This window comes from Homo sapiens, chromosome 1, assembly GCF_000001405.40.
Source record: "Homo sapiens chromosome 1, GRCh38.p14 Primary Assembly".
Lineage (NCBI taxonomy): Eukaryota > Metazoa > Chordata > Mammalia > Primates > Hominidae > Homo > Homo sapiens.
This window is the reverse complement of record NC_000001.11, coordinates 54,247,108-54,260,935: the sequence shown is the minus strand read 5'-3', so window position 1 is coordinate 54,260,935 and position 13,828 is coordinate 54,247,108. Positions and strand designations below refer to the sequence as shown.

The 13,828-nt window shown below is 53.1% G+C and overlaps 1 protein-coding gene across 17 annotated transcripts in view, besides 4 other annotated features; it reads left to right on the top strand.

The window, feature by feature from the left end:
• The window catches only part of SSBP3 (single stranded DNA binding protein 3), a 188,059-nt gene that overhangs the window by 152,555 nt on the left and 21,676 nt on the right, over positions 1-13,828 (top strand). For 9 of the 17 annotated variants that reach the window (NM_001394365.1, NM_001394366.1, NM_001394367.1 and 6 more), the window contains 3 exons: positions 3,750-3,809; positions 9,076-9,142; positions 9,244-9,320. In NM_001394365.1, coding sequence (NP_001381294.1) covers positions 3,750-3,809; positions 9,076-9,142; positions 9,244-9,320 — 204 coding nt within the window. Of the gene's footprint in view, positions 1-2,786; positions 2,868-3,749; positions 3,810-9,075; positions 9,143-9,243; positions 9,321-13,828 lie in introns of all 17 variants that reach the window. The other 8 variants (NM_001394364.1, NM_145716.4, XM_017000897.3 and 5 more) reach the window with 3 other exon arrangements.
• Positions 8,690-9,351: an enhancer, noted in NCBI's record as "H3K27ac-H3K4me1 hESC enhancer chr1:54717258-54717919 (GRCh37/hg19 assembly coordinates)". NCBI's record gives its function as "activates a minimal SCP1, AML or CMV promoter by ChIP-STARR-seq in primed H9 embryonic stem cells {active_cell/tissue: H9 hESC(primed)}" and the evidence as "EXISTENCE:reporter gene assay evidence [ECO:0000049][PMID:30033119]".
• Positions 9,352-10,014: an enhancer, noted in NCBI's record as "H3K27ac-H3K4me1 hESC enhancer chr1:54716595-54717257 (GRCh37/hg19 assembly coordinates)". NCBI's record gives its function as "activates a minimal SCP1, AML or CMV promoter by ChIP-STARR-seq in naive and primed H9 embryonic stem cells {active_cell/tissue: H9 hESC(naive and primed)}" and the evidence as "EXISTENCE:reporter gene assay evidence [ECO:0000049][PMID:30033119]".
• Positions 10,678-11,341: an enhancer, noted in NCBI's record as "H3K27ac-H3K4me1 hESC enhancer chr1:54715268-54715931 (GRCh37/hg19 assembly coordinates)". NCBI's record gives its function as "activates a minimal SCP1, AML or CMV promoter by ChIP-STARR-seq in naive H9 embryonic stem cells {active_cell/tissue: H9 hESC(naive)}" and the evidence as "EXISTENCE:reporter gene assay evidence [ECO:0000049][PMID:30033119]".
• Positions 12,009-12,508: an enhancer, noted in NCBI's record as "H3K4me1 hESC enhancer chr1:54714101-54714600 (GRCh37/hg19 assembly coordinates)". NCBI's record gives its function as "activates a minimal SCP1, AML or CMV promoter by ChIP-STARR-seq in naive H9 embryonic stem cells {active_cell/tissue: H9 hESC(naive)}" and the evidence as "EXISTENCE:reporter gene assay evidence [ECO:0000049][PMID:30033119]".

Genomic DNA, 13,828 nt, shown 5'->3' with positions numbered 1-13,828 from the left:
TGAGGAGGTGGGCACTGAGCTTTTAGCTTGGCCTCTGTCAAGAATGTGGTATCATTTTTCTCCCTGAGTGACTGGCAGGCCTGGGCCAAGATTCCTGGTCCTCATCATTCCAACCCCTAGCTCCAAGTCAGAGGGAAGACTTCTAGCTGCTCTTCCCGCCCCAGATTTAACAGCTTGTTCCCCATGAGCCAGAGAGGTTGTGGGGCTGGGCTGGGGCCTCCCTGACCAGCCTGGCTCCATCCTTACTGCTTGTCAGCTTTTTTTCTTGAGGCAGCTGCGCCAAGAGCAAGCTTGTGCCACCTCTGCTTATCCAGGGACTGGTCTCCAGAGTCCCCCAGGGGCGCTTCTGAGGGAGGCGCAGAGGAGGCACACCTGCCAGCCTTGCTGTCTGGATCTCAGCAGACCCCGGTTGGAGCACTGGTCCTTTGTAAAGGCTGCCGTAGATTGAGGCCCCACCGTGTGCGCCACACGCCCTTGGGTGCTTCACTTCTGTTTTCTCTAATCTGTCAGTGAGCCAGCCTCCTGCCCTCCCTGACCACTGGGCACACAGGTGTGAGGGGCTTGCCCAGAGCCCCACTGCTCGCCCTGAGGAAGCACTCAGTTACCAGGAAGGGAAGGACGCGAGGGAGGAGGCACTCCCTTCTTGCCAAGAGCCGAGGAACCAACAGAAGGCCTTTTGCCCCCTCTTGGCAACTGGACCTTACCCTTGAACCTTCCTCCTCTGTTCTTTTCATATTTCTTTTTTTGGGGGTTGGCTTCAAATTATCTTGTTTTGTTTACATTACACCCAAGTTACGTGGTACAAAAGACTTGCAGGTGCAAATATGTCCCGCCTTCATTAACTCCCCTCCCTTTTTAATTTATGTGATTTCAATTTTCCTTCCCTGTACTGTTAATTAGGGGACCCTCTAATCAGTGCCATTATCACAGTGGTATTCATGTTTGGGAAAGCCGCTAAACAAATGCTTGCAAAATTGCTAAATGGCTAATTAATGTCTGTTAATTAAGAAAATTGCTCATGGTAACAAACCATGCCGTTGCTGGCAGCCGCTAGAAAGACACACACTTGTTGAAATTAGTAGCGTGGCAGGTAGGGGAACATCTGCTCCTCGGAGCTTTCCGGAAGTGAGCAGCTCCTCGCTTGGCCAAGAAACTCCCAGGCCTCACAGCGGCGGCGCCCTCGGGTTCTTGTACAGCCCCCTGCGATGTTCTCTGCACACCTCTTCTCTGTGGGCCCACGCCCCTCCTCCCCAGTGGGCAGGCGGCTGGCAGCCTGGCTCTGCAGGAGAAGGCCAAGGGGGAAACCCTACCTAGGCAGCTCCTCTCTCTTTTTAATTTAGCCACACTCACCCCCTGTGCACATTTTGAATTTTTCTAAAAACCAACCTCTAAAAAACAGCACAGTCATGGGTGGGGAAGAGCGAATGGAGGCCTGTCTCCTCATCCCTGGCATCAGCATCCCACGCTGGGTGGGCTGGAACGTGCTTCCGAGGCAGCCCTCCGCGCTTACTGACTGTGACCCATGGTAGGAGAGTCCTTTGGTGGTGTGACCCAGTCTACACACACATGAATATTTACACACAAAACCGGGGTTCATGAAAGACACCTGCCTTAAAATACACAAAGCTCTCTGACTTTTTTTTTTATTACCTCGGATTTTTAAGAGATAATTATTGCAGCTTGCTGAATTGCTGAGTGAGTTTCTACCCATAGTTTGTAACCCCAAGGTTGAAGTGAATTCATCTGCCCATGTCTTCTGGGGCGGGGTAGGGGGGTCGAGGTCAGCATAGCCCAGGGTTGAGGCGGTGGGGGTGGGGGTCAGCTTGGAACTGAGGTATGAAAAGGATAGCCCACCCAGTCGCCCAGCAGTCCGGGGTCCCCACCCTTCATGCACTTCCCCCTGTCCCCAGCTCTGCACCGGAACTCTTGGGTTTCAGGGCTGGAGATGGGCCTTGGACCCATGGGGCTTCTCATCCCAGCTCTGCCACTGACCAGTTTTATGGCCATGGCCAAGTTCCTTCATCCCTCGAGACTTAGATTCCTCATCAGTAAAAATTGGAATGAGAAACCCCGCCTCACAGGGCTGCTTTGAAGTGCAGGTGAATTCACGGTGTGCGAGTCTGTGCTGCCCACACCGTGTGGCCCTCACTCACTGTCCCCTCACTCCCTGTGTGTTACATCTGTGGTGCCCCTTGCTCCTCTTGCCTCTGTTGTTTATCTGTCGGTGCCCCCGGCCCTCCTGCCCCCAGGAAACCCGTCGCCTGGGCCTCTCCCTGACACTTGATCAGTACTGCCTCGAGTCACCCATAGCCGTGTCACTGTCCCCCAGACTGTGAGCTCCTTGAGGGCAGGGCCCTTCCCGATCTTTCCCCACCTCCCGTGCAAGCGGCACCTACGTGCTTTGCACCTGGGTCCCTGTGTCTGTGCATCATTGTACTCCCTCTGAGCCCGTCTCAACCAACGTATTTAACATGGCAAACTCCGCTCCAAGGGTAGGCTGTGTCCAGGACTGTACTCCCGTGTGCTTTGACAGAGGTGCTTCATTTTTTGTTCTTTCAACCCCCTGTGAATGTATTTATCAGCTTCTCTCGCTCCCGCTCGCCGTTTTACACCGTTGAGCCGGCGACCAAAGCAGCAGCTCCACCACCTCCCACCAACCAGAGCCCACCCCCCCGCACGCCCGCCGCCCACCCTTCGTTTTGGTTTAATTTTTGTTCTTTTAAGCTGCTTCTGCGCTTCTCCATGTGCTGTGATCTATAACCTGCCTCTACTGTCTGGCCTCACAGGGTCCTCCGGGGTCACAGCCCTCGCCGCACGCACAGCCTCCACCTCACAATCCTAGCAGCATGATGGGACCCCACAGTCAGGTAAACGCACCGTGGCGCTCCCGCCCGCCGGGGACGCGGGGCGCGGAGGAAGCAGAGAGCCCGCAGAGGAAAAACAAAAATCAAAATGTGCTCTAGCCACTGCCTGCGAGTCTTTATTGACAAATTAAATTTTTTTAGAAATTTCTTTTTTCTAAAGATAGTCTTCAGTCCTCGGATATCACACCCAGCTTGGATACGAAACCAAAAGGAAAAAATATATATTTCTGTGACCTTGTCAGCTGCCTTTGCGTTTTTGTTTTTTCCTCTCTCACTTTTGGTTTGGTTTTGAGTTTGGTTCACCATTTGTTTGTAACCGAAGCTGCATCCCGAGCCTTTTCTTTGTGCACTCGTGCTGCTGAGAAAGCTTTCCTGCCATTCCCCTGCATTAAGTTAGGGAGCCCGCTGTCTCCTTGGCGTTTCCCCCCCAGTCCTTGCTCCCCTCTCTGTCCCTGCTGGTGGTTTCTGTGTGCGTGTGCCTGTGTGCGTGCTCGTGTGTCCAGCTTTGTCTGCAGGCCCTTAAGATGTTACGTATCAGTCCTTCTTACCCTTTCATTTGCCCTTACCGAGAGCAGAGGTTTCCTCCTCCGCCCTGCGTTGATTTAACTGTTTTTCGTTTCTTATGCAAAGTCCCAGCCGCTGCCCTTCCCACCCAGAGTAGATCTCCACGAACAAATGTGGAGTCAAGAGACACATTTGTTGTGTGGATCTATTGTTCCCTCTGCCCAAAGGAAGTTTTGCTGTCAAAGGGAAGAGGCTAGCAGGAGAAAGAACTTAAAAGATCACTAGTTATAACAAAACTGGACTTTGTGGAGTGGAGAGCATTTGTGTTTGTCACTGTGCAGTAGGGCAGGCTGTCATTGAACTAATTACCTATAATTGCAGCCTTTTATGTCACCGCGATACGCAGGCGGCCCCAGGCCCCCGATCAGAATGGGAAACCAGGTACTGTACCTTTTCATGTTCTCTCTCCCCTCCCTCAGCCATCCTTGGCCCTAGGTGGACTTTGACACAAAATGAAAGTTGAGGGAAAGGATTGAGGGGTGGAGGGGCAGGTTTAACGTGGCTGGTAGCTTACTAGCTGTTCCCCAGAGAGGGCCCCATGTCCCCGCTGTGCCCATGGTGCGGCAGTTCACCTGCCTCTCCAGATGGCCCTTTGGACAGCCCATTCCAGAGTTCAGAAGGTGGCAGCAGATGGAGCTAAGGCGCATCTGGGATTGCAGGGTTTCGGCTATTCTAGAGAAGATGGTAATGCCCTGCCCCTCCCTTCTACCCCCTTCTTGGAAGAGGGTCTTCCTCCTTAATGAAGCTAATTGACAATGTGCATTTTTTCCTGGAAGCTTTTGAGAATTGCCAAGGCTGGTAAATATAATCCTGCTATTAGGGGGGGAAATGGCCCGTAGGAATGCTTAGATCAGGAGCCTGGATGCAGCAGAGCAGGAGATTTGTGAGTTTTTCAGCAATGTCTGCCTGCTTCCCAGACCCAACTCAAAACAAGAAAGGATTTGTTCGTGTAATTAGAAAAGGGGTCTGATTACGGGGAGGGATTTTTGCCTGGGGTCATATGCCTTACGCTGGCCCATTAGGGTTGGCAATTCTAGGTGGTCTGGAGAAATCAGACCCCATGCCACCCTCCCTGGTTCAGGGCAGGAGAGGAGTTGCAGAGGTAAATATGAATAGATGCCTCTTTTGAGGATAGACAGACTTAAAAGAAACTTTTCGAGAAACATCAGGGAAATTTTATGCCCCAATTTTTTAAAACAGAATTATTTCGGTGACTTTGCAAAAGCCCTTCAAAAAAATCTGACAGAAGCGCCAGCACATCCAGCCCTTGTTGCCTTTGAACTGGGAGTTTAGTCACCAGCTAAATTAGCATTGTCTGAGTGTGATGCTTTTCATTCTCAGGGCTCTGCAAGAAGGCTCCTGAGTGAGGTGATGCAGGGACTATGGAGAGATGCTCATTACCAGGGGTCTCCAATTGTCTTTTTTTTTTTTTTAACCGGAGTCTCGCTCTGTCTCCCAGGCTGGAGTGCAGTGGTGCAATCTCTGCTCACTGCAACCTCCGTCCGCCTCCTGGGTTCAAGCAGTTCTCCTGCCTCAGCCACCCAAGTAACTGGGATTACAGGTGTGCGCCACCATGCCCGGCTAATTTTTGTATTTATAATAGAGACAGGCTTTCACCATGTTGGCCAGCTGGTCTCAAACTCCTGACTTCATGAGATCTGCCTGCCTTGGCCTCCCACAGTGTTGGGATTACAGGCGTGAGCCACCGTGCCTGGCCAGCTCTCCAGCTTTAATGCTAAATTGCCTATCGGGTTCCCACCTTTTTATTTTGTTTTTTTTTCTCTCCAAAAGTCCTTCATTTTCTATTTTCTCTGACATGAAGGGGACAAATTTGGACAAGAGGAATTAGAGACCCAGCTTTTTGAGCAAAAGAAGGGATCCCTGGATACATCACAGATGAGGAAACAAAAGGTCAGAGTGGAGGAGTGACTTCCCAAAGTGAGCTGGGCTGGAGTTGATCTTGGTTCCAGCCCAGTGCTAATTGTACTCTACTCCACCCCTTTCCTCAGTTTTCACAGATGTAAGATTCCTGCCCCCATCTGTGTTTTTAACCCATCACCGCTGGGCCTGCTTTGCCGTGGCACATAGGGGCGCCAGCAGCAGCCTTCCCACCCAGGAGCTCTTCTTGGTCCAAACTGGCCTCTGCCAGGAAGAAAGGAGCTACTTCCTTATCATAATTGTGGTGGCCCTTCTTCTGGCAATTAAAGGATATGGAGAGGGGTGTGTATATTTCTACTCAGCAACTAAGCATGAGCAACCACTCAAGAGCAAATGGGGGATAAATCCATCATCTGTACTTTGTATTACACACCAGTTTTCCCAACCTCCCTGCCAACCACCCCCCCCCCCGCCCCCCCGCAATAGAAATCTACACTGGGGCTGGGCGCAGTGACTCACGCTTATAATGCTAGCACTTTGGGAGGCTCAGGCGGGTGGATCACTTGATCAGGAGTTCGAGACTGGCCTGGCCAACATGGTGAAACCCTGTCTCTACTAAAAATCCAAAAATTAGCCAGGCATGCTGGCGTGTGCCTGTAATCCCAGCTACCCAGGAGGCTGAGGCAGGAGAATCGCTGGGACCTAGGAGTCGGAGGCTGCAGTGAGCCGAGATTGCGCCATTGCACTCCAGCTTGGGTGACAGAGCGAGACTCCGCCTCAAAAAAAAAGAAGAAAAAAGATAAAAAAAGAAATCCACACTGGTTTTCCAGTTTCCTGTGACCTCAAGAAATTTCTATCCTCCAAAGAGGGATGTGCCCCTTCCACAGGTATTGACCCTGGGGCTTTCTTGAAGAGTGCCCTCGTTGGGTCTGCCAGTTAACAGAAGCCCTGTGCCACCCGAGTTAGCTCAGTTCTCTCCTGTGACGGGTAAAGGGAGCCGAGACTAGAGGACTTGCTGGGGCTCACAGGCCATTATGAATGTGCCTTTTGGGTGAGGGGAGTGAAAAGGGCCCTTAGGGAAACAAGAAGCAAAGGGTCAGTGATGTGGCCTCAGGGTCTTACGAGGCCTGCCTCCCATCTGCCTCCCTGGCTAGAGGCTGTGCATAGAGAGTTGCTGTTTTTTCAAGTGCGGGTGATTGGATGGGTGGTGACAGTGGAGTTCAGCCGGGTTTAGGAGAGAGTGGCTGGAATCCAGGGTTGTCAGAGAGCTCTCCCACACACATCTCGGCAGAGGTCCCACCTGGCAGGCTGGCTGTGCTGGCGGGGCAGGTGAGAGAGCATGCGGATGCAGCAGGGATTTGTCCGTTTCCTGGGCAGATGCTTCCTGTGCCTTGCCCCACATGCAGTGCTGTAGGAGAAGAGCTGGCCTCCGTCCAGAAGCCCCAGAGCAACTCGCTCCCCTGTAGGCCCCAGGGGTGTGTGCACAGCGTGTAATTATGGTCCCATATATGAGCCGTTGTTTTTCCTCCTTAAGTTTGAGGGCTTCAGCCCTCTTAGTTTGAGACCCCTTTCCTTGGTCATTGCACACCTTCTTCCCCTGATAGAAGAGGCCCAGACTGTCTGTCCCTGTCTCAGGGTCACCTCAGTGAGGGACGCGACCTCCAGGTCCCCTCTGAGCCTCTGAACAGCCCAGCTTTGCTCCTGGAGTTCCGACACATAGGAGGGTTAGAGGAATCCAAGGAGGAGCTTTCTCCAAGAATTGGTGGTCAGCATTGGGCTACCTGGAGAGAGTGACTGCCAAGCCCCATGGCTGCACTGTCTGGGTTGGATGGGGTGGTCCTGCACTGGGTGACTCATGACCCTGAAGGTCCCCCATCCACCTCCATGTCCTGGGATCCCCCAGTCCAGACAGCCTTAGAGGCAGGCCTTCCTGAGTCACCAGGACTCTATAAAAACCACAAACCCCCAGTGGGCAGACGCAAACCAGCCAAGTGATTCAGAGCTAGGGAACCTGGGGCCAGGAAGCAGGGCTGGGAGAAAGTGAGAGGCCGGAACAACTAAAAATCCAGGGATTGGAAAGACAGACGCTGAGCACCCCCAGGCAGACGGAAACAGCAGGTGCTAAATGCCACTTTGTAGGCCAGGTGCGGAGGCTCACACCTGTAATCCCAGCATTTTGGGAGGCTGAGGCAGGAGGATCACTTGAGCCTAGGAGTTTGATACGAGCCCAGGCAACATAGTGAGACCCCATCAATACAAAAAATTTAAAAATTAGCCGGGTGTGACAGCGCGTGCCTGTAGTCCCAGCTCTTGGGATGGCTGAGGCAGGAGGATTGCTTGAACCTGGGAGTTCGAGGCTGCAGTGAGCTGTGATCACACTACTGCATTCCAACCTGGGCAACAGAGCAAGCGACCCTGTCTTAAAAAAAAAAAAAAACAAAAACTAAAAAAAAAACAAAAACAAATACCAATTCTACTTCGTGAACATCAGATACTCCCTATGCCCTCACACAATCCTCTCGTACCTTAACCACACATACCCGCTCCCCTGTTCCATTCTGAAGCTAGGGAAATCAGTGAACAGTCTGTCCCTTCGCTTTCCACCACCTCGTTCCAAAACCGGTTTGAAGTTCACTATTGAGCTCAAGGCAGGAGAGCTCCCCACTCAGCCTCCCCCACAGCAGCACAGCCTGGGCTGGGGGCCCTTGAGGACAGACCCCTGTCACAGATGCCCAGCCTTTGATCAGCACTGACACCTGCAGATGAGGAAAGATGACCAGCCAAAAGGCTTTTCCTCTCGAAGGCAAAAGCTCATATTTATAAAGCCCTAAGGGATGAGGTCCTAGAAGCAAACTTCCCCCCAGCAACTCCTACTCTCTTTTTCCAGTTGCAGCTGAAATAACTTCAGTCTCAAGTAAATTGCTTTTCATAGGGTTTCACAGCGGGTGGGGCAAGTGTTCACCCAGGAAACCCGTGGCCCCCGTGTTTACCTTCTCATTAGTAACCACACCAGCACCGCCGATGGCCCCAGCTCTGGAGCCGGGTTCTCGTCTAGTACCCCTGCCCCTCTCCTAGTGGCCACCTGTCCCTCTCCTAGTGGCCACCTGTCCCGCCCCGGGGCTGGGTGGCATTTCCTATTGTAGAAGCTGATGGGATGTGACCTGGGTGCTCACTTGGCTCTGCAACCTGTGACTGGGAGCCCGCAGGCCTGTGACCTCAGTTTCCCCATCTCAATCCTAAAAGCCTCCTCATCCTCTTTTCCCCTTTAAATGGGGCTTCCCACAGCGATAGGATTTTAGGTAGTGGGTGTCTCAGTCCCCGTAATTTGGAAGTAGAGCTAAAATGAGGTATGTGTCTGTGAGACAAAGGCAAGATGGGGTTTGGGCAGAAGGAGGGAGTGGGCACTGCTGCCTCTGAGAGGAAGGTGGTTGGTGCTACAGCCAGAGCAAGACCTAGAGAACTTGGTCTCCTGCCTCACTTCAGAGCTCTGATAGGTACACAGACCCCCTACCCCAAGACAGCAGGATGAGGCGGTGGTTTCCCTCCCACAGAGCCCCCAAAACAACGCCACAGTTATAGCTAACACCACTTCCAGCTGACTGGTAGGCCCGGGGTAACCTTCTCCCACTGGCAGGCAGCAGAAGTCTCAGGGAGGCCATGAGTGGCTCCACGTGATCACACGGGGCACTGGGTGGGACAGGTAGATGCCTGTCCCCATGGCCAGCAGCTCCGGAGCAGCTCCTCAGCTTGTGTCTTGCATCTCTTTCAGCCTCCGGGAGGAGTTCCTGGGACACAGCCATTGCTGCCCAATTCTATGGATCCCACACGACAACAAGGTAGAGAGGGCAGGGTGGGCCTAGGGTGGCTGGGGATGCCAGGAGGGGCTCCTCCTCCCTCCACTCCTGCCATCCCATGACGCGCCTCCTCTCTCACGCAGGCCACCCCAACATGGGAGGATCAATGCAGAGAATGAACCCTCCCCGAGGCATGGGGCCCATGGGTCCCGGCCCACAGGTAACCACCGCCTGTCTGTCCGTCCGTCTCCCTGGCCATCTGTGTGCACCCGCCTTCTCTCCTGTTTCCATGCTCTGTCAGTCTCCCACATCTCTCAGTTCGCAGGGGTGAGAGGAAGGGCATGGCCGCATCCCCTGCTCCTGTCCGCTTCCTGTGGCAGGCTGGCTTCACGCGCTGCCCAGGGCAGCCCCTTGCAGATGGCAGGCAGAGTTGAGGGCCCCCACCAGGGAGCTAGGAAAAAGGGGACAGCTGAGGCCTTCTAGTTGGCAGACCCTTTTGGGGTGCGGTAGCCTATCATGGGGTCTGAAGAAGGGCAGGGAGCTCCTGAACCCCAGAGCTGCCTCCCCTGGGTGAGGTAGACTTGAGATGGCTTAGGGCCACCATCGGTTGTGTCCCAGAGGCGGCGCAGATGAGTGGCCTTCCTAGCTCTGCCTGCGACTTAGCATGTGTCTGTCCTTGGATGAATCACTTTGACCTCTGTGGGCCCCAGCAGGCCTCAGTTTCCCCACCTGTTAAATGAGGACTGTGTCCGCGATTCTCTGGTGGGAGGGGGCCACGCTGGCAGGACCCCAGCACCCACTTCAGCCGGGATTCTTTGACCAGAGGGCTCCGCTGCCACAAAGGGCAGTTTATAAGCCATTGGAAGAAAGCATTTCAGGTGCCCTCACATACCTCTTACGGTCACAACAAAGTCGTTGCCCCTCGTGGCCAGCTCTGCTCCCCCAGGTAGGGGTGTCCAAGCAACAGGTGTTGGCGCTGACAGGTGTTCTGCTGTGGAACCATCTCACTGCTTACCCCCAGCCCTCTGGGTGTTTGCACGTGGTTCTGTTTCCTATAGTAGCCGTGGCAGAGCGTTCGCGATGTTCCACCTTGGGAATTCTCTAGCCCCTAACTAAAGGAAGCTGGAAGTCTGAATAAGGCAAGGGGCTTGTTCTCAGGTGTTCTTTCCCTTCTTTTCTGTTCTGCCTGGAGTCTGCTGCACTGGTCACTCCCTTGGTTGCGTGCAGGTGTTCAGGCTCTGGGCCCCCTGCACTGGTTTCTGGGTCCCCTGAGGGTGGAGTAGTGCCCCCCCCCATTCCCGCCCACACGTGCTCCCTTTTGTAGGGAGAGGCGTCTGCCCCACAGAACCACAGCCCTCTGCTCCATCCCAGAATCCGCCCCACAGAACCACAGCCCTCTGCTCCATCCCAGAATCCGCCCCACAGAACCACAGCCCTCTGCTCCATCCCAGAATTGTATTTACAGCAAGCCCAAGCCACCGCTTTCTTCTCTGTGGTGGTTGGAACATCTGTGGTGTTGAAAGATTTTAGGGAGGTCCTTGTCTTCTGCCAGCCCCATAATCCTAAAAGGAAGCAAGCCCACAGCAGTTGCAGCTCCAATATTCTGGTTGTGTTCCTTCCTCAAATCCTCCAAAGTTCGCGTTTCTGCTAGCTCCTTTTAAGCTGCCAGAGTGGCCCCTTCCTGCCTGGCAGCCGCCTGGAGCTGACCTCTGCAGGGCTGCCTGCCTAGGGAAGGGGGCAAGGGGCAGAGTAGGAGCGGAGCTTCCCCTCTCCTGAGTCAGATACAGCTCTCCCTCCCCACAGCCTAAGCCACACAGCAGTCACATTTTATTGGTGTAGAAATCAGCAGTGGCCTTGGATTGTCAGATGTCATGGGATCTGTGTGACTCAGGAGGATGGAATCTGAGGAGGGAAAATCGAATGCCACCGCCCAGCCCATGGATCCTCAGAGGCTCAGCGGCTGCATCTGTAAAATGGGAATAAGAACTGTGCCTGACCTGGAGGGCTGTTGGAAGGGGCAGGGTCCAGTGTCCAGTTCCCTTTTTTTTTTTCTTTTAACAGGAATCAAATTTTATTTTTATTTTTTAAAAGTTAAAATATTTTTTATTAAAAGTTTTTTTAAATTTTTTAAAAAATAAAAAAAGTTTTATTGTTTTTTATTCTTTATTTTATTTTTTTGAGGGTTTACTCTGTCACCCAGGCTGGAGTGCAGTGGCATCATCTCTGCTCACCACATCCTCAGTCTCCCAAGTAGCTGGGACTACAGGCTCCCACCACCACGCCTGGCTAATTTTTGTATTTTTAGTAGAGACAGGGTCTTGCCATGTTGCCCAGACTGGTCTTGAACTCCTGGGCTCAAGTGATCCCCCGACCTCAGCCTCCCAAAGTGCTGGGATTATAGGCGTGAGCCACCGTGCCTGGCCAGGTCAAGTTCTCAATGTGATGCTGGCCACAGGGTGCTCCCGCTAAGGAGGCTATTTGTGTTTTCCAACTTTAGGGACTGAAAACCAATGTTAAGACCTCTAGTTGCTTGGGTTTGGTGATTGCTTTTAATTTCTTCTTCTTTCTCTTTTTCTGGCAAAGTCATTAACAGTTTGTTAGGACCATCGTAACACTGAGATTCTAAAGGCTGGGAACAGATGTCAGGCTATTTGAGAGCAGCAGGGTGTGCTGGCAGTTCAGGACTTCCTCTGGGTGTGGTGGATGTCTCATCATGTCTGCCCCTGACCCGTAGTCCAGCACACTCTTTGGCACACTTTAAAGAAGTGAGGGTCCCAGCGGCTGAGGCCCTGCAGTGAGACTCTCCTGGCCTCACCCAAGCAGTGTACAAGGGGTAGAGCTCCCCTTAGACCCTAGGAGTGTCTCCAGCGGGAGGGAGAGAGGCTCACCCGTCTTTATTTATGTTACACACCCTTGCCAACCTCAGGAACTCTGGAAGCATATCTCCTGCTCTTTATTTTACTTTATCAATGTGGAGACCCTAAAGTGCTTCACCCATGTTTCCTATACTCCTCTGGGTAGGGTGAGTATTAAATCCCAGAGCCAAACGTCCCTTGAAGAAACCCAGGGTGTCTGCACTGGCCCATCACTGGGGTCAGGAAAGCCTGGCATTGATGTAGCACTGGGCCCAGACAAGGTTGATGGTGCAGGATGGATTACAGGGTCTGTGGTCACCTACGGGCTCATCTTGGGCCCGGCAGAGCCTGGTGGTTTGGGACTCTGAGGTGGAGGGTAGGGAGAGGGCAGACTCTCCCTGTTCCCTAGGCCATTTCTGTCTCTCCCCTGAGGATGATGCCCTGTGGACAGGACAGGGACAAGCCCAGAACTTAGTTCTGGAAAGCACAGTCCTGACAGCAGCTCAGCCTGGCTGGGCCTCCAGTCTGTCATCTGCAAAACGGGCAGCAAGTGATGGCCTCATGGGGCTACTGGAGGGTGGGCGAAATAGCAGCTGTGAAATGTTACTTGAAGTCCCCACATGGTGTCCTGTGGATCCCTTCCCCTTCCCGCAGGCCCTGAGCTTGTGGGAGGGAGCCCTGCCTACTGCCACAGCCCGGGCTGTCAGGAAGGGCGGCCAGCCCCTTCAGCATAAAGTAAGCACCACAACACACACAGTGCTGTGCTGAGACCAGGCTCAAAGGTGGGAGACCATCGGCATGTGATTCACAGCCGGGAATTAGATTGCTTTTAGCCAGTGACCACTCCAGAACTTTCTGAACAAAGAATAGGTACAGCGTGGTCGGTCATAGGGCTACTTTATTTCAAAACCGAAGGGAGTGACATTGCATTTTGTGAGTCTGTGTCACATGTCAGCCTAAATGTCTCACAGGAACCAGCAACGCAGGTATCACCCTGTCCTTTGTCATCAGTGCTTCAGACAGATTTTACTCTGGTTTTGTAAAGTGCCAGTGCCAGAAAGGAGATAGTACTTCCACTTAGAACTCTTCTTTCTAAAAAGTTTTATGTATGTCAGTATCAGGTAGTAACGTCTTATCCTAGTGTTTCAAAAGTGAATTCTAATAGGACGAAGCTAAAACTGAGGGGCTCCTGGTTGGACTTAGTAGAGAGAATGCCAGCCCCCACCAGAAGTGCGGTGGCTCCCAGACCCCGGGGTGCCAATTCTGAGAGCCACCGACTTGTTGTTGTTTCTGGTATTCAGGCTGGGGCTGGAGCCAGGACAGAGTAGAATCAGGTCATTATCCTGGTTTGTCTGCATTTGAGAGTTCAGATGAAGGAGAATCCACAGCCCCTGGGACAATCCTATGCCACCCCCATCTCCTGGGGCTGATCCAGGGCCAGTCCAAGCTCAGTGCCACTGAGCAGAGGCCCCCAAAAGAGATGGGTGGGTCATTAATCCTGGTCCTGAGCACCCCGAGCTGGTGAGGAAGGAAAAGGGCCCCTTGAGGAACTTTCTCTGGTGGTCCTGCATGAGATGGCCAGGCCCCTGCTGCCCAGAAAATGGCTGGGACAGCCTCAAATCCACTCTGGTAGGTGAGTCCTAAAGACTAGGAGAGCTATCCCCTAAGGGAAATACAGCACTGTGTGTATTCCCTTCCCACCTGCCTCCTGCAAGATGCTTGGCTAAGAATGCAGACTCTGGGGGCCAGCAGATCCAGGTTTAAACAGTGGGCACCTAGAAAGCCCTTCTGAGGATGTGGCAGGAGGGAGCAGCAGCCACCGCCTCCAGGCTGCAGCCCCAGACAGCTGCTCGGTCCCTTCTCACTGTGGACC